Source organism: Homo sapiens, chromosome 6 (assembly GCF_000001405.40).
Source record: "Homo sapiens chromosome 6, GRCh38.p14 Primary Assembly".
NCBI lineage: Eukaryota > Metazoa > Chordata > Mammalia > Primates > Hominidae > Homo > Homo sapiens.
Window position 1 is genome coordinate 109,691,288 of NC_000006.12, and position 24,939 is coordinate 109,716,226.

The window sequence follows — 24,939 nt, forward strand, 5'->3', positions numbered from 1 at the left end:
AAACACCTGATCATCTATAGGTTTAGTGCCTAATGGGTGTTGTTCCTGGCTGGACTTGATGTCCAGGGCCTGAGGGGTTTTCTCGCCGAGTCTCCTGGGGCGGTCCGGAGGCTCGTGCCCTGTTGTGGGGCCCCCATTTGCCGCCGCCATGCCCACGGCCGCCGCCCCCATCATCAGCTCGGTCCAGAAGCTGGTTCTGTATGAGACTAGAGCTGTGAGTACCCCCTCGCGGCGGGGCGCAGGCGGGAGGATGGATGTCTGCCGGTGGGTGTGGGGCCGTAGGACAGAGGCTGTACTCTGCCTCCTCCTCCTTCCTCTCCAGTTCCCAAATCCCTGTCAAACACAGCCTTGGGGTAAGCTAGCTCCCTTGAGCTGTGCCTGGGCGCCTTTCCCCTATTTTGGTACCCTGGACATTGCAGCATTTGCAGGTCCACTTACAAGCCATGGCTGGAACACGCTGGAAACAGGTGCTTGTGGTACCTCAGGAACTGTTCATGAGGTTCTCTGTACGAGTTACTGGATTCTTTTCAGCTTTCAGAAAGTCTGTTAAAGTTCTAGAGTTCACAAGTTACAGTACAGGCAGGGGTATGAAAAAAATTTGAACTATGACTTGTAACTTATTTTTTCCTATTCCATGGTATACCATCACTGCGATTCATGTGAATTACACTTCTATTGGTGAACTTTTTGGTTCTCTTTTTTTCTTATTTGAAAGGAAAGGAAAACTTACTTTGTTTAAAGACAGATAATTTGTTTGGATAACATCTTGCTTTTCACTTGACTTTTTTCAACATAACATTTACTTTTAAAATTTTATTACTTTGAATGGCCATGTAAATAGTGAATAAGCAGATCAGTTTGTATTTCGATTACCAGTTCCTCAATTAAGGGAGAATGGTGTTTATATAACTTCATACTTGGTCCTTTCTGTGGGTGGAAAGCAAAGTTGGTACAGTATAGCTCTTCTAAATTGGGGTGCCACAGTGATATTAGGGACTGTGTTTAATATTACCCATTTCATGCTAACAAGATTGCATATGCCAGATATTTTCATAATGCTCTTCACTATGTTATAGAGTGCTTTATAAACTGTTTCTCTGAAACTTGGGTTGTCTCCATTAGAGGAGTATGAGAAGGCATTTAACAGTTTCTCAGTTATAACGTAGTCCTAATAGCACAATAACCTCTCCCTCAGGTTAACATGAGTAGAGAATTGTGGACCTTAAATTAATTTTGCTGACAACTTTGATTAGATCTAGAGCAGAAAATGACATTATCAAATATACTGTATTTGCAAGTATTTTCAGTTCTCTAATGAGACCCATAAAGAAGTATCATTTGTCATTGAAATGAAACCTATTTTCTGTAAAATATGCTGCTAAATTTCCCTCATTAGAAACATAAATAACTTTTTTTTTTTTCCCTTTGAGACAGAGTCTTGCTCTGTCACCCAGGCCGGAGTGCAGTGGTGCTATCTCGGCTCACTCACTGCAACCTCTGCTTCCCAGGTTCAAGAAGTTCTCGCACCCCAGCCTCCCAAGTAGCTAGGATTACAGGAATGTGACACCATGACCGGCTAATTCTTGTGTTTTTAATAAAAGACAGGGATTCTCCATGTTGGCCAGGCTGGTCTAAAACTCCTGGCTTCAGCCTCCCAAAGTGTTGGGATTACAGGCATGAGCCACCGCATCTGGCCGTAAATAAAACACAAATTTCAGCCCATTAAAAAGCTGATCACTCATGAGGACTGCGTGAGATATTAGTGTTCAGAAAGCACAATTCATATTATAGGGCTCTTCTGCTCAGAAATCTTCAGTGGTCCCAATTCTGAAGCAAGTAAACTCTGAATCCCTTAGTTGGCATTCAAAGCCATGTATTATTTGTCCTCAACTTGTCTATCTAGTTTTACATCTAATTTAATATCAATTAATGAAACATTTATTGAGGATCAACCATGTGCCTTCATATGCCTTATTCTGCAGTAAAACTGTATTGCTTTCAGTTCCCTATATCTGCCCTGTGTTTTTCTGCTGTTCTCTATTCTCTTAATGCCACACCCCCTCTTTTCCTGTCAAAACCTTGCTGATCCTCACAGCACATATCTGGTCATGCCTTGCAAACAGTAGTCTCTCAATAGATGTGGATTAAGGAGCTCTAACACAAAGAGATAGAGGTGTGTTCCAGAACTCAGCTGTGACCCCTCTCAACTGCCTAAGTAATGGAAACTAACTCTGGCCAGCTTAGAGACAAAAGGTAAATTTATCAGAGGGATGCTAGGGGAGCCATTGCATGGTATCCAGCTTCTGGAAAAGCAGGAAAGAGATAACAGGTTTGAGAACCCTCTCAGAGTACTGCCAAAAACAGTGTAGGTGCTGGGAGAAAAAATCTGATCGACTCAACTATGATTGGTTATCATCCCCTGAGTGGACAAATCATTCATGGCCAGGGGGGGTCTGGCAGGAATGATTTAGCTGTGGAATCAGGATCCTCTTTGTTTCAGCAAATGGTTGGGGCTGGGCAACCACCCTTGAAAATGTCTGCTGCATTGAATCACTGAGTCTCGGTTTTGTTAAATAATTTTTTTTTTTTGGTTAAAGATATAAGCAGAAAGGTTTTGTTTTGTTTTGTTTTGTTTTTACTAATAAGCTCAAAGTATAAATAAATAAGAAAAAGGCATAAAATTACAGGCAACTGGATAAATGCTATGAATTAAAAAAACAAAAACTGTAGTAGGTTGTAATAATGAGGATAATAGCTCAAAATATTCTACATATATTTTATTATTTAATCCTCATAAGACCTCTAAGAGATCATGCTGTTAATTCTACTACTATATATATTATTTAGTAAAGAAAAAAAATGAGGCAAAGATAATTTAAGGCAGTTACTTAACCCATTTATGCCAGAGGTTGCAAATTTTTTTGTGTGAAAAATCAGACCTTTGCGATGACCTTGAGCAGTAGGATATAAATAACTCCCACAAGCTTAGCGTTCCAATAACGGAACACTAGGCATAAGGTGTGGTGCAGGTGCTAAGAATGTATACTGGGGAAAGGACAGTCTCTTCAATAAATGGTGTTGAGAAAACTGGATATCCATGTGCAGAATGAAATAAGGCCCTTCTCTCTTGCCATATCCACAGATCAACTTAAAATGGATTAAAGGCTTAAGTGCAAGACCCAAAACTGTAAAACTACCAGAAGAAAACATAGGGGAAATGCTTCAGGATATTGGTCTAGGCAAAGATTTTATGAGTAAGACTTTAAAAGCACAGGGAACAAACCCAAAAATAGACAAATGGGACTATATCAAGCTGAATAGCTTCTGCACAGCAAAAGAAACAATCAACAGAGTGAAGAGGCAACCTATAGAATGGAGAAAATATTTGCAAACTCTTCATCCAAGAAGGGACTAATATCCAGAATATATGAGGAATTCAACAACTCAACAGCAAATACCCCCAGATAATCCAATTAAAAATGGGCAAGGATCTGAGTAGACATTTCTCAAAAGAAGATATACAAATGGCCAACAGGTATATGAAAAATTACTCAAGGTCACTAATTATCAGGGAAATGCAAATTAAAACCACAGTGAGATATCATGTCACCTCAGTTAAAATGGCTATTTTCAAAAGGACAAAAATTATCAAATGCTGGTGAGGATATGGAGAAAGGGAATTCTTATATAGTATTGGTGGTAATGTAAATTAGTATAGCCATTATAGAAAACAGTATGGAGGTTCCTCAAAAAACTAAAAATCCGGCAGTCCCACTACTGGGTGTGTATATGAGGGGATTTCAAAAAGTTCATGGGAAAATGGAATTAAAAGATAAAAATAACAAATGTAAACTTTATTTCTCAAGCTAACTTCCGTCAAGGTCAAGACATTTTTGTAACTAATGATACCAGCCATTTAATTCATCCACAAAGAACCGAGGGTCCTGGGAATTTAACCATATTGGTGCAGTCTTTTTTACTCTGTTAACTAAAGAAAAATGGGTGCCCTTTAAGGATTCTTTTTAAGATGAGGAAACAAAAAGAAGTCAGAAGGAGCAAAATTGGAACTGTAAGGCAGATGCCTAATTATTTTCCATTGAAACTCTTGCAGAATTCCCATGTTTGATGAGAGGAATGAGCAGCAGCATTGTTGTGGTGGAGAAGGACTCTGTGATGGAGCTTCCTGGGTATTTTTCTGCTAAAGTGTTGGCTGACTCTCTCAAAACACTCTCATAATAAGCAGATACTGTTCTTTAGCTTTCCAGAAAGTCAACGAGCAAAATGCAGTGAATACACACACACACACACACACAGACACACACACACACACACACACAATGTTGCCATGACCTTTCCTCTTGGCCCGTCTGCTTTGCTTTAATTGGACCACTGCCACCTGTTGGTAGCCATTGCTTTGGTTGTGCTTTGACTTTAGGATCATACTGGTAACGCCATATTTAATACAGTTCTTTGAAGAAATGCTTCAGGATCTTGATCTCACTTGTTTAAAATTTCTATAGAAGGCTCTGCTCTTGTCTGCAGCTGATCTGGGTGAAACAGCGTTGGGAGCCATCAAGTGGAAAGTTTGCTCAACTTTAAATTTTCAGGCAGAATTGTGTAAGTTGTACCAATTGAGATGTCTATGGTGTTGGCTCTTATTTCTGCTGTTAATCATCTGTTCTCTTTAATCAGGGAACAAACAAGTGAATTTTTTTCCTGAAAAATTTACATGGGTGGTCTGCTGCTGTGGGCTTTATCTTCAACATTGTCTCATCCCTTCTTAAAGTTATTCATTTGTAAACTGCATATTTCTTTGGGGCATTGTCCCCATAAACTTTTAATAAGCATCAATGATTTCACCCTTCTTCCACCCAAGTTTTACCATAGATTTGACGTTTGTTCATGTTTCAATTTTAGCAGAATTCATGTTGCTCTGACGGGCTGTTTTCAAACTGATCTGTTATCCTTCCTAGTACTTCAAACTAGATCCTGTTCAGACATGTTATAGCAAGTTAGTATCAGTTTATTTTGGTGCAAAAAAATTTTGAAATCCATAGCTTTTTTATAATACGCATTTTCCATGAACTTTATCAAGTCCCCTTATATATTCAAAAGAAAGGAAATCAGTATGTCAAAGACATATCAGCACCTCCATGTTTATTGTAGCACTATTCACGATAGCTAAGATGTGGAATCAGCCTAAATGTGAATTGACAGGTGAATGGATTAAAAAATGTGGTATATATACACACAATGGAATACTATTCAGCCAGGAAAAAGAATGAATTTCTGTCATTCACAGCAAATATGGATGAGTCTAGAGGACATTATGTTATATGAAATCAGGCAGGCACAGAAAGATAAATGTTCTCATTCACACGTGGGTGCTAAAAAACGATGTTGAGCTTATAGAAGCAGAGAGTAGAATTGTGGTTATTCGAGGGTAGGAAGGGTAGGAAAGAGGGAATGATAGGGAGGGAGGGTTAACAGATATAAAATAACAGCTACATAAGAGGAATAAGCTCTAGTGTTTTATAGCACTGTAGGCTGACTATAGGTAAATAATTTATCATAGATTTTCACTTAGCTAGAAGAAAGGATTTTGAGTGATCCCAACACAAAGAAATTATAGATGTTTGAGGTGATGGATATGCTAATTACCCTGATTTGATCATTACACAGTGTACGCATGTATTAAAATATCACTCTATGTTTCATATGTACAATTATTACATGTTACCTAAAAAAGGGAAAAATGAGGTCAGGAGATTGAGAGCATCCTGGCTAACACAGTGAAACCCCGTCTCTACTAAAAATACAAAAAATTAGCTGGGCATGGTGGTGGGCGCCTGTAGTCCTAGCTACTCGGGAGGCTGAGGCAGGAGAATGGCGTGAACCTGGGAGGTGGAGCTTGCAGTGAGCCGAGATTGTGCCACTGCACTCCAGCCTGGGCGACAGAGTGAGACTCTGTCTCAAAAAAAAAAAAAAAAAAGGGAAAAATGTATGATTCAGTAGATCAGGATTTTGGGAGTGACTTAGCTGAGTGATTCTGGCTCAGGGTCTCATGAAGTCGCAGTCAAGATTCAACTGGGTTGCAGTCATCTGAAGGCTTGAAAGAAATGGCAGATTTACTTCCCAAATAGCTAACTCACGTGCCTGACAAGTTGAGCTGACTGTTGACAAGGAGCTTTGCCTTCTTGCATCATGGACATTTCCACAGGACTCCTTGAGTGTCTGTCCTTATAATGTGGTAGCCTGCTTCATCCAGAGAGAGTTATGCAAGAGAAACAAGGAGGAAACTGCAATGTCTTTTGTGACTGAGCCTCAGAAGTCACACTCTTATCATTTCTACAATATTCTTACACAGGTTAGCCCTGTTGAGTATGGAAGGGGGCCATACGAAGGACATGAATACCAAGAGACAAGAATCATTAAGAGTTCTTGGAGGCTGCAGAGATTAAAGTTCACTTTTGTCTGTACCTCAATTGTCCCATATCATTTGTAAAAATGACTATCCTTTATTGAATTTCTTTGGCATCCTTTGAAAAAACTAGTTGACTGAATAAATGTGGATCTTTTCTTAAACTCTTTCCATTGATCAATTTTTTTTTTTTTTTCTAAGACGGTGATTTGCACTGTCGCCCAGGCTGGAGTGCAATGGCACGATCTCGGCTCACTGCAACCTCTGCCTCCTGGGTTCACACGATTCTCCTGCCTTAGCCTCCCGGATAGCTGGGATTACAGGTGCACACCACCACATCTGGCTAATTTTTTGTATTTTTAGTAGAGACGGGGTTTCACTATGTTGGCCAGGCTGGTCTCGAACTTCTGACCTTGTGATCCGCCCGCCTCAGCCTCCCAAAGTGCTGGGATTACAGGCTTGAGCCACCGTGCCTGGCCTGTTTTTTTTTTTTATTTTTTTATTTTTTAGTGTCATTACCAACTTGTCTTGATAATTGTAGTTTTATAGTAAGTCTTAAAATCAGGAAGTTTTCCAACTTTATTCTTTTCCCAAATTATTATGGCTATTCTAGAACCTTTGTGTTTCCATATGAATTTTACAATAGGCTTGTCAACTTCTAATAAAAAGCCTGTTGGGATTGTGATTTGAATTTCATGGAATCTGTAGACCAATTCGGGATAATTGAAATTGTATAATCTAGAAAGAGGAACACTTTTTGCTTCCCCATCTTGATGCCATTTATTTCTTTCTCTTGACCTATGGCCCTGGCCAGGACCTCTAGTACAAAGTTGAATAGAAGTGACCGGAACAGACATTCTTGTCTTGTTTTTTATCTTAGAGGGAAAGTATTCAGTCTTTCACTGTTGAGTATGATGTTAGCTATTGGTTAGATACCCTTTTTCAGATTGAGGAATATTTCTTGCTTTGGTCTGATGAGACTTTATAAAAAAATTGTGAGTGGATGTTGAATTTTGTCAAATGTTTTTTTCACATCTGCACATGACATTTTCTTTATTTGCGTATTATGGCCAATTACATTAATTCATTTTCAAATGTTAAACCTTGGATTTTGGAGGTATACCCTACTTGATCATGATTTATTACTGTTTTTATATATTGCTAGATTCTATATGCTAATATTTTGTTAAGAATCTTTGCTTTTATTAATACATTCAGGATATTGGTCTATCATTTTCTTAATGTCTTTGTCTGATTTTGATATCAGGATAACTCTAGCTTCATAAAATGAGTTAAAAAGTGTTCATTTTCTGAAAGTGATTATATGATTGGTATTGCTTCTATTTTTCAATGTTTGCTAGGATTCACCAGTGAAAGATTTGTGAATAGAGTTCCTTTGTGGGGTGAATTTTGATAATGATATCAATCATTTTCCATAACAGATATAGGGCTATACACATTTTCAGTGGACCTAGAATCAGTTTTGACAAATTATATTTTTCCAGGAATTTGTTCATTTTATCTTAGTTGTTGAATTTATTGGCATTAAGTTGCCCATAATATTCCCTTATAATCCTTTTGATGTCTATAGGATTTGTAGTAAAATTTTCACTTTTATTTCTGACATTGGTGTTTTGTGTTCTCTTTGATTTTGCTTTGATTCATCTTGCTAGGGATTTGAAAGAATAAACTTTTGACTTGGTTAATTTTCTATATTGTGTATTTTCTGGTTAATTAATTTCTGCTCCTAGGCTTATTTTTTTTCCTCATACGCGGTTTTTTTTTGTTTGTTTTTTTTTTGTTTTTTTTTTTGAGACGGAGTCTTGCTGTGTCGCCCAGGCTGGAGTGCAGTGGCTCGATCTCGGCTCACTGCAGCCTCTGCCTCCTGGGTTCAAGTGATTCTCCTGCCTTAGCCTCCCAAGTAACTGGGACTACAGGCCCACGCCACCATGCCCAGCTAATTTTTTGAATTTTCGGTAGAGACAGGATTTCACCATGTTGGCTAGCCTGGTCTCGAACTCCTGACTTCAAGTGATTTGCCTGCCTCGGCCTCCCAAAGTGCTGGGATTACAGGTGTGAGCCACCGTGCCTGGCCTCTCATGTGCATTTTGGATTAATCAGTGTCTTATTCCGTTCAGGCTGCTGTAACAAAATCCCATCAACTAGTTGGCTTACGATTTTCACAGTTTGGAGGCTGGTAAGTCCAAGATCAAGGCACTGGCAGATCCAGTGTCTGGTGAGGACCTGCTGTGTCCACACACAATGGAAGGAGCAAATAAGGCTTCCTTGAACCTCTTTCATAAGTGCACTATCCCCATTCATGAGGGCTCTGCTCTCAGGACTGAATCACTTCCAAAAAGTCCCACTTCTGAATACTATTGCATTAAGGATTAGGTTTCAACATATGAATTTTAAATGTTTGGGAGGACACAGACATGTATACCATAGCAATCAACTTATCTTTCTCTAGCTTCATAAGATAGAAATTTATGCCGTTGACTTAATTTTTTTCTAATATAAAACATTTAAAACTATCAATGTAAATTTAAAAGTAGTCAAAAGATTAATGACAGATGGTGAAAGTCTTAGTAGCCTGAACAACAGATAAAGCAGTATATCCTTACATGCAAAAATATCTTATAAAATCAATCTGAAAAATAAAACACCCAATAAAAAGGACAAGGATATCAACAAGTAGCTCACTAAAAAGAAGTTTGAATATGAAAAAATGTTCAACTTGCAAATAATTAAAGCAATAAAATGAAAATAGATTCCCTTTTTCCCCCTGTTAGAATGGCAAAGATTTGCCAAAGCCGTTGCTGGGAAGTATTTGAAAGAAATGGGCATTCTTATTTTGGTTGGTGGGGGTGTATTAGAGGTTGAGTATCCCTAATCTGAAAATATGAAATCTGAAATGCTCCAAAATCCAAAATTTTTTTGGACATGACATGACACCACAAGTGGTAATGCCAACAACTGTGGATTGTCCACATGGGTGGCTGAGCTAGTGATGTCTTTGCTTTCTGATGGTTCAGTGTACACAAACTTTGTTTCATGCACAAAATTATTTAAGACATTGTGTAAAACTACCTTTAGGCTATGTCTATAAGGTGTATATGAAACATAAATGAATTTTATGTTTAGATTGGGTCCCATCCCCAGGATAGCTCATTATGTATATTTTCAAAATCTAAGAAAACAGAAAATCTGATTTACTTCTGGTTCCAAGCATTTCAGATAAGGGACACTCTACCTTTAATTAGTTATAAAGGAATTAGGAGACACATTAAGAAGCAAAAGAGCCAGTGGACAAGATGGGCTGTCTCTTGTCCTGAGCCTTCATTTAGAAATATAATTGGGTAGACTTGCTCTGGAGGCGAAGTTCAGGTCGTTATTGTTCTCTGTGTATAGAGGTGGATTTTGAGGAATATTTGGAGAGGAAAGGGAGCTGTGTTGGCAGATGACATGCAGGAAGTGTAGTTCTAGCTTGTGAGGGTTGGCCCTTTCCCAAACTAACCTATTCTTTTTGGCACCTAGCACCTTCAATATGCTCCTTAGCTCTTGTGACTCGTCTGTGGTCCTAATATGCCTTGTGGCCCAGGCCTAACGCAGCACTAACAGTCATACAGCCCAGTGCAACTAGGAGTTTCCAGCAGAGATTCAGCAACCTGAAGTTATCCTGGGTGAAATTGCAGTTTGCCTTTACAAGAAGGTGCCCTTGCTTAATATGTGATGACATAGGGACCTTAGCATCACAATAAGTGACCATTTCATAACAAAGAAATGAACACATAATAGTTGACGTTAAAATTGGTAGCTAAACAGAACTAGGTCTGCATGTGTCTATTTAGCAGGGGACGGGGAGATGAAAGTTGTTAGGATAATTTTTACTCTTACTTGTTCAAGATTGTTAGCATATATGTATGCATTTATTGCCTGCCTTGTTCCAAAAGGATTTAAGGAAGCTCCCTCCCACCCCCATCACAGAAAGTAGAATAAAACAAGAACCACATGGTGAGGAAATGCACCTTTCTTAATTAGCCTTGATTTGTGTAATCAGTGAATGGGAGAGAGCAATATAGGGTGTAGTTGACTAAGGATTGGAAAAGGAAACCAAAGTATATAAAGTGAGAGAGAGAAACATAGCGATTATATTAATAACTGGTTTAGAGTGTGTGGTTGGAGGTGACATTCACATTTGTTTCTACAGAGGATTTGAAGCTTCCCCAGAGTAAAGCCCTGAAGGTCAAATGGATAGACTTGCAGACCTCTCTTGAGACTCACTTCCCCCTTCTGGGCGGCATTACCCAATTACTGGGATTACTGGACTAAGTGAGGAGGCAGGCTTGCAATACTGTTAGATTGGGAGAAGCAACTTCATGGTGCTCTTTACAAATAATACATTTAATCTGAAAGTTCAGGTGAAGTTTAACATGAATTGAAGCTGTCATACAACCTAAAATTTCTTTCAAGAAGGCTGATTTTCCTCCCTCAGATGAAAAGTGAGTGATTAATTAGCCTGTCATTATAAAAGAAGATAATGTTAGTAGATACTGAATTTCCTGTTAAATGGATTACCTATTGTATTCTATTTGGATTTCACATATATATTTTAGAAATACTCATCTTTATACCAAGTCACCTCTATTAAAGCTATATTGAAATTGTAAGCTTTTGCCTGAACAATGACACTTAACTTTCAGAAGAGAGCCAGCTTAGCTCATCTTCTATCTTAACAGGTATTATTTCAATGTAGCTTTTCTCTTTGGTATCCTAATTCTCCACCTGAACTCCTGCCAAATCCCAAGCCCCAGCATATCTACAAATACACAAACCTTTTCCCTAGTGGTGTTGATTCGTAGGCACCTACTTGCATGTATATATGCCTTTAGGGAGTCTGGCTGAGGCATGCCTGATCTATGGAAATCCTGTGTGCTCCAGTTACTGCTCCCTTTCCTTCCCTATTCTTGGATATTTTATTTATCTCCTTTCCCTACCATTTGAACTAGGGGCCCTTTGCTTCTTCAGACTCTGCCAATACTTGAGATGACTTTTCTGTCTTCTTTCAATCCCTAGTTCTTACTACAAATTTGTAATAAATTGAACCCTGACTTTCCCCTAGATGTAAAAATCTCTCAACACATTCACACCCCTTAAGTATTCTTCTGGGTTTCATCTTGAAGCAATGGCTTTAGTCCGGACTGGATGCTCCCAAGGCCTGCACTACAGCCGCCATTCTGGGGTTTCCCTTCACCGTTACCCTATATCATACTCTCTATGACAGTTTCCCTGTTTTCCTGGATCCCATCACTTCCTGTTTCTTGATTATGGCCTCGTTTTGGTAGAGTACTTCCTTTAATTACTTCATGAGAAAGGGTTCATAGAAGTTCATTTTTTTTTTAAGCCCATGAGTATCTAAAAATGTCCTATGCCACCCTCAGGTTTGATTGATAAAATAAATACTGAATTAAGGATTGGAATGAATTTTCCTTTAGAGTTTTGAAGGCCTTATGTCATTCTCTTCCACCTTCCAGCATTGTTGCTGAGAGCTTCTAATGTTACTCTGTTCTTGATCTTTAGTTTGAAGCTTGTTTTTTTTTCTTTTCAGAAGCTGTGCTAACTTCTTTTTGTGCTCTCTTCTTTTTATCTTCTTCTGACACTACAGAGGTATCAGGGGCTTCAAATTCCCAAGCCTTTTGGAGGTTCTATTGTGTAAATTGGATTGCTTCTTGACTTTACCATTGCCAGTTTAGGAGTCAGCTTTGTTACACATGCTTTTCAGTTTCAAATGGTTTTTATTTTTCTCCTTTATCTTCTTTGTTCCTCCTTTTGCTCTTGGGGCTTGAGCCTAAAAACAAACATAAAAAACTTTACTATGGTTTTAGTAAGATGTTTGGGAGGACCAGAGGTGTCCACTCCTCCATCTTTATCCAGGATTCTACCTGTTTTGCACCTCAGACATCTCTGTTGTGGATCTTGCCCCCTCTCTGTCCCTGAGACTGCCCACAGAAGGGCCACTCACAAGCGCCTGTCATCAGATGCTCTGTCCTTATCGACTTGACTTCTCAGCAGCATCTGATGTGACTGCTTTCTCCTTTCCCAGATGATCTTTCTTTGCTTTGACGAGTCCACCTCGTGCTGGGGTTTTCTCATTCACCAGCCATTCCTCCCAATCTTCTCAGCTGGTTCCTTCTCCGTATCCAGCCTCTAAATAATGGAGTTCCTCAGGCTAGCTTTTTTGGGCTCTCGTCACTCTCCCTACTCTCTCTAGTAGGTTTAACCCAGTCCCATGGCTTTAAATGCTGCATACATGCTGATGGCACCCACTGAGCTCTTTTACCCACTGAGTTCTCACTTGGCCTCTCTGGGCATGTTGTGAACAGAACTCTTGGTTTCCCTTCAAACCTGTTTCTTCTCCAGTCATCTCGACATCAGTAAGTGGCACCATCATCTAGCTATCTGCTTAAAGGTAATTGGATCTATTACTCTCCTTCCTGATCCCATCTACCAGTAAGTTATATATCCAAAATATATCTTCAGTTTATCTTTTTCCTCAGGCATCGAGCCTAGTGCCTGACACATATGAGGCATTTACTAGTCAGTGGTCCAATGAGTGACATCAATAGAAACACCAAGAAAATGTATGTAAAAAAATGTGGGCTTGGGGCCAGGCATGGTGGCTCATGCCTGTAATCCCAGCACTTTGGGAGGCCAAGGCAGGTGGATCATTTGAGGTCAGGAGTTCAAGACCAGCCAGGCCAACATGGCGAAACCCTGTCTCTACTAAAAATACAACAACAACAAAAAAAATTAGCCACGTGTCATGGTGCACGTCTGTAATCCCAGCTACTTGGGAGGCTGAGGGAGGAGAATTGCTTGAACCTGGGAAGCCAGGACGCAGAGGTTCTGGTGAGCCAAGATTACACCACTGCACTCCAGCCTGGGTGACAGAGTGAGACTCCATCTCAAAAAAAAAAAAAAAAAAAAAAAGTAGGCTCTTTAAAAATGGGGAAGTCATGAAAAACAAAGCCTGATGAACTATTCTAGATTAAAAGATTTAAAAAGATGTAACATAACTTTACATAAAGATAGGTAGTACATGATCCTTGATTAGATTCTGGCTTTATCAAATCCAGCTATAGAGGGTATTATAGGGAGATGGGGGGAAAATTGGAATATAAATTGTACATATATATTGTATTGATGATATTATGATTATGTGTTACGATACCTGCAACTCATTTCCAGAGGTTCAGAGGAAGAAAGCATCTATCAGGAGTGGGGGAGGGAGAAAACAAATGCAACAAAATGTTAACAGTTGGTGAGTCTAGATGAAGGGTATATGGGTGTTCGTTGTACTGTTCTGTTGTCTTTGAAGATTTTTTTAAATTAAAAATTGGGAAAAAAATCAACAGTGGAGAAAAATTTAGTGGAGGGAAACTTTAGGGAAATTTTTAATCCCCAAAATGCTGAGGTCCATTTTGAAGCATACTATTAAATGTAACAAAGGCTGAGGATATACAGTGTTGATATATTCAATAGGAAGGAAATAAGAACGAGTAGAAACAAGGCCTTTCTGGAAGTTACCTCTTAAAAAATTGGTGTGAAAGTGGATGGTCAGCTGCCCACCAGAGGGCAGTGCAGGCAGTGATTCCGCGGTCTACAGTAGGCCAGCTGAAAAGCAGGGGTTTTCTTTCCCTCATAACTGGCTCCACATGAGGTCGCTATTCTCTGCACAAAACGTTTTTAGGATTCTTAGACTGTTTGAGAAGAGAGAGAATGCGGGTAGGTATAGTGCTTCCCATTTCTTTCCCTCCACTCTGATCTATTTCCAGATTCTGTGGGTTTTAGCCTTTGGCTCCTCTGATTCATGGATTCTTTGGAAGGATCTAGATATTGGAAGTACAGATCTGCCTTCCTAAGTATGTGTTTCGAAGTCCAATAATGCATTTGCCCATGAGCATGTCAGGATTTATATCTGTTTTTAAAATCACAAACTGCCAAAGTATCATCCCATTGCAATTAATCTTTAGGTTTCGTAGGATTTATTAAAATTCTGTACAACAAACCCCTGTGACATGAGTTTACCTATGTAGCAAACCTTCACATATACCCCCAAACCTAAAATAGAAGTTAAAATTAAAAAATAAAATTCTAGGGAATTTCATTTAGGGATTTTACCTCTTTTAAACCTAGGATGTTCCTCCTTACTGAGTGGTTGACTTAAAAGAGCCATTTTTCTATGTGCTTACCCAGAAAAGCTGGGTTAGTGTAAATGTCTTAGAAAATTACCCAGCACATGAAATGATTACTCTGTGGTACATAGTTGTTCTTTCACCTAACACTTAGCTAATGCCTGAGGCACCATATTGTGCTACTAGACTAGGAAATTAAAATCCACAGAGGTTAAGGAGTTAGCCCCAGTCTCCCGAGGTGCTTATAGTAGGGGGCAGACAAGCCCCAAACAAATTTAGACAAGACTTTCAGAAGTAAGTACTACATTTAGGTAGAAACAAAAGTGCTTTGGGGAGAACAGGTGATGAGTAGGGATTGGTGCAGGTGGACATGGGTGGTTCACTGGCCTTGTCTTGGCTCAGTGCCCAAAGTCCTGCTTAGAGGTTCCTCAAGGCCAAATTCAGAATCAGGACAACACCAGCCTGCTCTGACCATCCCCAGATAAGTCAAATGCCCTTCCTGTGTTCTCATGGCATCTAGTTCATGCCTCTGTTATAGCATGCTATTCATGATTGTCAATTTGCATGCTCTTCTCTCCCGAGGACATAGACTGACTACTAACAGATTGGCGCATTTTCCCATTGTGAGTCCATTCTGGTCCTGAACATGCTTTCCTCCCTTTGGGCTACTCTCTGTTTTCCTCTGGCGTTTGTCTTTTTCCTCAAATACAATGGCATAGTCTCACTGACATCTTACAAAGTGAAGGACAGAAAAGGAACTAACACTTATTGAGTGTCTTTTTTGTGCTGACTGCTGTGGTCACTGTGTTAGGTGCTTTGTGAACGAACATTTTCTCGCTTATTCTTGTGCCTGTAACAAACATACCATCTTCTTCCCTTTTCAGTTCTTTGCAATTGCTATTTCCTCTCCTAGAAGCCATTTTTTAAGTCCTCAAGAAGGGCTCCCTTTTCTGCTAACAAGCACGTATAGTTTACAAACCATTCTTCTTAGGTGAACGCTGTTAGATTGGTTACCCCCTCTCCTCTCAGTGGTGGGTAGGGTGTCAGGGACAGGAATTAGCTGAAGCCTGGCTGAGATTCTTTGACTTCCTTTCTCTTCCTGTTTGCCTGTCTGTCTAACTGCACCCCCAGTACATCGAATCCTGTCACTGGATGTCCCAACTTAGTTTACTAATTTTTATTATAATTGCTTTATTTCTACCTCATTATAACTCATAGTGTCATCTAGACTGTACCTCTCCTAGGAGATGTGGGATTGAATTTCTTGACTAGCTTTCTTCTTGAGGTCAGGCTAACCCATCATTTTTAACAGATTGTTTTGCTCTTCATAACTTATCAGTAAATCAGGCCTTTATAAACTGATGTGTGTGTGTGTGTATATATATATATGTGTGTGTGTGTGTGTATGTGTATATATATATGTATAGGTATATATATACATATATACATACATATATACGTGTATATATATATACATATATACACATATGTATACATACATATACATATATACCTATACATATATACATATATATACATATATATACACATATATACACATATATATACTTAATAGTAAAAATTCCATGTATTTCTACAGATTTAAAGTTAAAACAGTATATCCAAGTGTTCATGTTGTAATATACAGTAAATTCTTACCTTTTAAAGTGTTACCTATTCTTGAAGGTTCAATTCTAGACCCAACTTGTCTGACATTTTTCTCATCTATAGTAAGCCACATTAATCTTTCCTGCGCTGATTTCCTATGGTCTACATGCTTCATTTTGGCCTTTAATATCGAAAGACTTGTTTGTTATTTAGTTGCTTTGTGTATCTACACCTTATATGTCCAATAGTAAATGGCACAATGTGAGTTGATTATGGCAGTGTTTTCTCAATTTTTGCAATGTTTAAAAAGTGTCACTTTTTAAAGGACTTTTTGAAGCGAAATATCTTTATTTTTGCTAATGAAGTACTTATTTTTTAGATATAATTTTAGAATAATTCATTTCATTTAGTTTTTCTTAAAAGCATTTTCATTTAAATATATTTTTCTACATTTTGATTATTCATTTTATTCTCAGTATTCTTTTTTTTTTTTTTACTTTTAAGTTTGGGATACATGTGCAGGTTTGTTACCTAGGTAAACCTGTGTCATGGGGGTTTGTTGTACAGATTATTTTGTCACCCAGGTATTAAGCCTACTACCCACTAGTTATTTTTCCTGATCCTCTCCCTCCTCCCACCCTCCAAAAGACCCCAGTGTCTGTTGCTCCCTCTGTGTGTCCATGTGTTCTCATCCCACTTGTAAGTGAGAACTTGCAGTATTTGGTTTTTTGTTTTTGCATTCGTTTGCCAAGGATAATGGCCTCCAGCTCCATCCATGTTCCTGCAAAGGACTTTTTTATGGCTGCATAGTATTCCATGGTATATATGTACCACATTTTCTTTATCCAGTCTATCACTGATGGGCATTTAGGTTGAATCCATGTCTTTGCTATTGTGAACAGTACTGCAGTGAACATACACGTGCATGTGTCTTTATAATAGAACAACTTCTCTTCCTTTGAGTGTATACCCAGTAATGGGATTGCTGGGCCGAATGATATTTCTGTCTTTAGGTCTTAGAGGAATTGCCACACTGTCTTCTACAATGGTTCAACTAATATACATTCCTGCTAACAGTGTATAAGTGTTCCTTTTTCTCTGCAACCTTTCCAGCATCTGTTGTTTTTTGACTTTTTAGTAATAGCCATTCTGACTGGTGTGAGATGGGCTTTCATTTTGGTTTTGATTTGCATTTCTCTAATAATCAGTGATGCAGAGCTTTTTTTTCATATGATTGTTGGCTGCATGTATGTCTTCTTTAGAAAAGTGTCTGTTCATGTCCTTTGCCCATTTTTTAATGATTTTTTTTCGTGTAAATTTGTTTAAGTCCCTCACAGATGGTGGATATTAGATCTCTGTCAGATGTATCGTTAGTAAAAATTTTCTCTTATTCTGTAAGTTGTCTGTTTACTCTCTTGATAGTTTATTTTGCTGTGCAGAAGCTCTTTAGTTTAATTAGATCCCATTTGTCATTTTTTGCTTCTGTTGCAATTGCTTTTGGATCTTCATCATGAAATCTTTGCCTGTGCCTATGTCCTGAATGGTATTGCCTATATTGTCTTCCAGAGTTTTTGTACTTCTGGGTTTTACATTTAAGACATTAATCCATCTTGAGTTAATTTTTGTATGTGGTGTAAGGAAGGGGTCCAGTTTCAATCTTCTGCATATGGCTAGCCAATTCTCCCAGGATCATTTATTGAATAGGGAATCCTTTCCCCATTGCTTGTTTTAGTAAGGTTTGTCAAAGACTAGATAGTTGTAGATGTGTGGCCTTATTTCTGGGTTCTCTATTCTGTTCTATTGGTCTGCGTGTCTGTTTTTGTACCAGTACCATGCTGTTTTGGTTACTTTAGCCCTGTAGTGTAGCTTGAAGTTGGGTAGCATGATGCCTCCAGCTTTGTTCTTATTGCTGAGGATTGTGTTGGCTATTTGGGCTCTTTTTTGGTTCCATATGAATTTTAAGATAGTTTTTTCTAGTTCTGTGAAAAATGTCAGTGGTAGTTTAATAGGAATAGCATCGAATCTGTAAATTGCTTTGGGCAGTATGGCCATTTTCACAATATTGATTCTTCCTATCCATGAACATGGAATGTTTTTCCATTTATTTGTGTCATCTCTGATTTCTTTGAGCAGTGGTTTGTAGTTCTTGTAGAGATCTTTCACCTCCCTAGTTAGCTGTATTCCTAGGTGTTTTATTCTTTTTTGTGGCAATTGTGAATGGGAGTTTGTCCCTGATTTGGCTCTTAGTTTGACTGTTGTTGGTGTATAGGAATGCTAGTGATTTTTGCACATTGATTTTGTGTTCTTAGACTTTACTGAAGTTGTTTATCAGCTTAAGAACCTTTGGGCTGAGACTGTTGGGTTTTCTAGAAATAGAATCATATTATCTGCAAAAAGGGATAGTTTGACTTCCTCTCTTCCTATTTGGATACCTTTTATTTCTTTCTCTTGCCCGATTACCCTGACCAGCACTTGCAATACTATATTGAATAGGAGTGTTGAGAGAAGACATTCTTGTCTTGTGCCAGTTTTCAAGGGGAATGCTTCCAGCTTCTGGCCATTTGGTATGATGTTGGCTGTGGGTTTGTCATATATGGTTTTTATTAATTTGAGGTATGTTCCTTCGATACCTTGCTTATTGAGTTTTTAACATGAATGGATGTTGAATTTTATTGAAAGCATCTGGGTCTATTGAGATAATCATGTGATTTTTGTCTTTAGTTCTGTTTATATGGTGAGTCACATTTATTGATTTGCATATGTTGAACCAACCTTGCATCCCAGGGATAAAGCCTACTTGATCGTAGTGGATAAGCTTTTTGATGTGCTGCTGGATTCGATTTGCCAGTATTTTGTTGAGGATTTTTGCATTGGTGTTCACAAGGATATTGGCCTGAAGTTTTCTTTTTTTGTTGTATCTCTAACAGGTTTTGTTATCAGGATGATGCTGGCCTCATAGAATGAGTTAGGGAGGAGTCCCTCCTCCTCAGTTTTTTTGGAATAGTTTCAGTAGAAATGGTACTAGTTCTTCTTTGTACATCTTCTAGAATTCAGCTTGGAATCTGTCTGGACCTGGATTTTTGTTTTGTTGTTGTTGTTGTCATTTTTTGCTTGTAGGCTATTTATTACTGCCTCAGTTTCAGAGCTTATTACTGGTCTGTTCAGGGATTGAGTTTCTTCTTGGTTCAGTCATGGGACGGTGTATATGTCCAGGAATTTATCTATTTCTTCTAGATTTTCTAGTGTATGTGAATAGAGGTGTTCATACTATTCTCTGATGGTTGTTAGTATTTCTGTGGGGTCAGCGTTAATATCCCCCTTGTTGCTTCTGATTGTGTTTGTTTGAATCTTCTTTCTTTACTAGTCTAGCCTCCGGTCTATATACTTTATTAGTTTTTAAAAAAAAAAAATAGCTGCCAGATTCATTGACCTTTTGAATGGTTTTTCGTGTCTCAGTCTCCTTCAGTTCAGCTCTGATGTTGAGTATCCTTGTTAATTTTGTCTTGATGATCTGTCTACTATTGTCAGTGTGGTGTTAAAGTCTCCCTCTATTATTGTGTGGGAGTCTAAGTCTCTTTGAAGGTCTCTAAAAACTTGCTTTATTATGGCCAGGTGTGGTGGCTTATGCCTGTAATCCCAGCACTTTGGGAGGCTGAGATGGGTGGATCACAAGGTCAGGAGATCGATACCATCTTGGCTAACACGGTGAAACCCCGTCTCTACTAAACAAAATAAAAAAAATTAGCTGGACGTGGTGGCAGGCACCTGTATTCCCAGCTACTCAGGAGGCTGAGGCAGGAGAATGGCATGAACCCAGGTGGAGCTTGCAGTGAGCCGAGATTGCGCCACTGCACTCCAGGCTGGGCGACAGAGCAAGACTCCATCTCAAAAAAAACAAAAAACAAAAAACTTGCTTTATTAATCTGAGTGTTCCTGTGTTGGGTGCATATATATTTAGGATAGTTATATCTTCTTGTTGAATTGAACCCTTTATCATTATGTAATGCCATTCTTTGTCTTTTTTTTTAAAGCTTTGTTGGTTTTAACTCTGTTTTGTCAGAAACTAGAATTGCAACCCCTGCTTTTTTCTGTTTCCCGTTTGCTTGATAGATTTTACTTTGTCCCTTTATTTTGAGCCTGTGGGTTTCATTGCATGTAAGATGGGTCTGTTGAAGACAGCATACTGATGGGTCTTAGTCCTTTATCCAGTTTGCCACTGTGTGCCTTTTAAATGGGGTATTTAGTCCATTTACATTCAAGGTTAGAATTGATACGTGTGAACCTATCATCAGGATGTTAGCGGTCATTTTGCACACTTGTTTATGTGGTTGCTTTATAGTGTCATTGGTCTGTGTACTTCAGGGTGTTTTTCTAGTGGCTGAGAATGGTCTTTCCTTTCCGTATTTAGTGCTTCTTTCAGGAGCTCTTGCAAGGCAGTTCTGGTGGTAACAAATTCCCACAGCATGTTTGTCTGAAAAGGATGTATTTCTCCTTTGCTTACGAAGCTTGGTTTGGCTGCATATGAAATTCTGAGTTGGAAATTCTTTTCTTCAAGAAGGTGAATATTGGCCCCCAATCTCTTCTGGCTTTTAGGGCTTCAGCTGAGAGGTCCACTGTTAGTTTGATGGGCTTCCCTTTGTAGGTGACCTGACCTTTCTCTCTAGCTGCCTTTAACATTGTTTCTTTCATTTGGCCTTGGAGAATATGATGATAATGTGCCTTGGGGATGATCTTCTAGTGAGTATCTGACTGGGGTTCTCTGCATTTCTTTAATTTGAATGTTGGCTTCTTTAGATGGGTTGGGGAATTTCTCATGGATGATATCCTGAAATATGTTTTCCAAGTTGGTTCCATTCTCTTTCTGGTATACCAGTGAGTCGTAGAGTCAGTCTCTTTACATAATCCCACATTACTCAGAGGGTTTGTTCATACCTTTTCATTCTTTTTTTTTCTCTATTCTTGTCTTATTTCAGAAAGCCAGTCTTCAAGCTCTGAGATTCTTTCCTCCGCTTGGTCTGTTCTGCTATTAGTACTTGTGATTACATTATGAAATTCTTGTAGTATGTTTTTCAGTTCTATCAGGTCAGAAATGTTCTCTATGCTGGCTATTTTGTCTGTCATGTTTTATCATGATTTTTAGCTTCCTTGGATTGGGTTTCAACATATTCCTGTAGCTCAATGAACTTCATTTCTATTCCTATTCTGAATTCTATTTCTGTCATGTCAGCCATCTCAGCCAGGTTCAGAACCCTTGCTGGAGAAAAGTGCAGTTGTTTTGGAGGAAAAAAGGCACTTCTGGCTTTTTGAGTTGTCAGAGTTCTTGCACTGGTTCTTTCTCATCTTTGTGGGCTAATGTTTCTTCAATCTTTGAAGCTGTTGACCTTTATATGGCCTTTTTTTCTTTTATCCTATTTGATGACCTTAAGGGTTCGATTGTGGGATCAGGTGGATTCAGTCGACAGGTATTGTTTCTGGAAGATTATAGGGGGCCAACGTTCAGCTGCCAACTCCTGGACTGTGTGCTCTAACTCTGGAATACTCGTATTGGGCTCTGACTTTGTTCTCTGGCTCCTCGAGGTTAGGTATCCGATGCGCTGAGGGTGCCAACGTGTAGTGACTGCTGGTCACTATGCTTTGATGGGTGGTGTCAGCCAAAGCATTTCATGGTGCGGTGGCGGTGGGATATGTCCTCATTCGCATGTGCCAGTGGCAGCGAAAGCATGGTGGCTGCAGCAGGATGCCAGCAGGTGCCTGCCTCCATGTGGGCATTCACAGCAGCAGCAGAGGCAGCATGGCTGAGGGGGCGGGGGAGGCCCTGCTGGTGACTGTGCATGCAGTCATCATGGTGATCCTGTTAGCACAGGGGCAGGGCACTGGTAGGTGCAGGTCTATATACACTCTCTGTGTGCTGCAGGCAGTGGTGGTCACTGAGGGCTGGGGAAGGTCCACTGGCCTCTGTGCATAGTTTCATTCCCATGGCAGCATTGGCACAGGGGTGGGATGAGGACGGGGCAGGCTGGCTCTGTGCCCACCAAGGCTCCAGCTGCAATGGCAGTGCAGCTGAAGGAGGGAGGTGGATTGCACCCCCAACTGCAGCAGTGGCAGGACAGGGTACATGCGCACACGTGCACTGGTAGGGCAAGGAAGACAAAACCCACCTGCGCACACACATGTTGGCAGAGTGATGTTGGAAGTGGCAGTGAGCCTGCGGGAAGCTGCAGTGGAGGGAGGGAGAGGGTGGGCTGCTGGGTGGCCATGGGGGCCACCCCACTAGAGCTCTTCACCAATCAGGTGCCAGTCCACCAGCACAGGGTCTCTGATGCAGGCCCCCAGGACACCTAAGGCTTCCCTGCAAGCAGGGCTGGGGCCCTGGGAGAGAGGTCAGCAGACCAAGGGGTGCTCAGGTTGACTGTCCAGTCTGATGGGCAAGAGCGCCCTGCAGAGTTCAGGTCCGACAGTTCCCCTAGGGCTAAAGTCTCCTATGGGAACAAGTCAACCCTAGGGGGATGAGTGTCCCTGGCTGTGCTCCACTACAAACGCTCCCATACCAAACCCTCTGGGCTCTGCATAAGCCAGCGTGTTGCCCCTACCACTTCTCTGAGCAGCTCTTCCTGCCAACTCGAGTGTCTGTGATGGTCAGGGAGTCTCCTTCTGTCAGGATTCCAGAGGCCTTGGCGAGAGTAAGTTTCTCCTTACCAGTTCAACTCACCCATTCCCCCAGAGTCACTGGGGGCCAGGAATGAATGCCAGTGCATGGTAGTCCCATGCAGGGTTCCCAGCTTCTTCCCTCTTCAGCCCAGCTTCTGTGTCTTCCCTCCACCACTCTCAGTGCCTTCCCTCTGAAGATCTGTTAGGAGTGCTCCAGTTGTCCTGGTCCCTTGGTGGCAGCTGTTCCGCCTGGCTGCCTCTAGTCAGCCATCTTGCCCAGCACCCCTTCAGTATTTATTTAATAAGACTAATGTGATTGTGTTTAGTCAGAACGCTCCAAGGAACTGTTTTAGGAAAGAAAGAATGATGATAATTTCTTGTAGCTTATCTATAAAAGGTCATTTGGGAAGGACAACCATTTTAATCATTTATGGGACTTTTGGGTAGATTTTATAGTTACTATATTAAAGACATTTGCAGACATTTATGAAAATTTGTAAGTAGTTTTTTGATAAGCTGTCAGTACTTTAGTAGCTATAATTGCCTAAGCGTTCCTAATTATATGTTGAGCTTTAGAATTTTTACCAGAGCTTCTTCCTGGTAAAGCTTAAACATCAGCCTCCAATCAGTTAGATTAATCTCTAAATTTATGACAATTAAATTCATCTGACCTGGTTACTGGGCACATTTCAGACATCAGACTGATCTTTATCATGAAACCACTAGGAATATTTTAATTTTAAAATTGACCTTTTGGAGTCAGCTTTTCTTTAATCTGCCAGTTATACATAACAGAAATATTTCTTTAAAAAGTAACCTGACTTTATTAATGTATTTAATTTCAAAAACTAAAGTGGTATAAAATGTGTATAGGGCAAAATGCTTTGATAAACTAATGACATTCCTTTTTATTTATAGAGATACTTTCTAGTTGGGAGCAATAATGCAGAAACGAAATATCGTGTCTTGAAGATTGATAGAACAGAACCAAAAGATTTGGTCATAATTGATGACAGGGTAAGTATCCTCCAAACCTGACTGCAAAAAAACTTTCATACCTGTTGTTTAAAGGACATGAAATATCCTTACAGTTTTTAGTGATATATTATTTTTATCATAAATCTAAAAGTTTCCGTTATTTTTCTTGGTTGGCTAGAATTTGAATCTCCAATCTGATTTCTAGAAATCACTGGTGTCAAGAAGTACGCCAGAATTATACTTTGCCCCTCGTTTTGACTTGTTTTCGAAAACACACTCTTAGGATAAGATAATGAGTATTGTTTCTTAAAGAGGGCTGACATTTTAAGGATTCAGTGTAACTTAATATTGTATCTGCCAAAGAGACGATCTGTTATGGTTCTTTAATATCAAGCTACTTGAAGTCAGGGAGGACTTCTATGCTACAGACTTTATTTTCCTCCTAAAAATCACCTCTAGGACCTTTACTGATGATTTGCTATACACTAAGGAAATGTTAAGCTGTTCTTATCCAGAGTTAGATTATCCAGAGTCAAGAATACAGAGGCTGGAATTCAGATGGCACAAAAACCTGAAGCTGTTAGTCAAAAGTGAAATACTATATGGTGGTTTGAACAGTTAAGTTTAACTGTTCACACAAAAGAACTCAAGTTATCTTTTGTGTTGAAATTCCTGTCTGTGACTATTTCGGAATCCATAAAGATTCCTGGTTTCTCAAATATGTAGTAACTACAGTTTGGAATCCATTTTCACTAAGCTACTTGTAACAAAACTATTTTCTGTGTTGTAATAATTTTAGATAAATTCTTTGTTACGATTTCCCATGCTACTCCTGGGGTCCATTCTGCTCCCCACCTATCTGAGCATTTTTAACAATATAATGTAATGGTTCTTGGCTTTATTTGGAGATCGGAGCAATTGGTCAGAGAGCCCTTTGAAATGTTAAGAAAATCTATGGGCCTTCTCGTTAAAGATGCACATTTACTCAAAATTTTGCACATAGTTTTAAGGGATTCATGGACTCTTGAAATTTACCTGTAGATCCCTTAAATCTCTGCATCTCTGGTTTAGAGTATAAGGTTTGGACAT

The 24,939-nt window shown here is 39.5% G+C and overlaps 1 protein-coding gene across 2 annotated transcripts in view; it reads left to right on the forward strand.

Moving 5' to 3' along the window:
* The window catches only part of FIG4 (FIG4 phosphoinositide 5-phosphatase), a 134,131-nt gene continuing 109,200 nt past the window's right edge, over window positions 9–24,939 (forward strand). The window contains exons 1-2 of one of the 2 annotated variants that reach the window (NM_014845.6): window positions 9–214; window positions 23,791–23,889. In NM_014845.6, coding sequence (NP_055660.1) covers window positions 149–214; window positions 23,791–23,889 — 165 coding nt within the window. In that variant the 5' untranslated portion in view covers window positions 9–148. Of the gene's footprint in view, window positions 215–9,614; window positions 10,436–23,790; window positions 23,890–24,939 lie in introns of those variants that run through there. The other variant, XM_011536281.4, reaches the window with a different exon arrangement.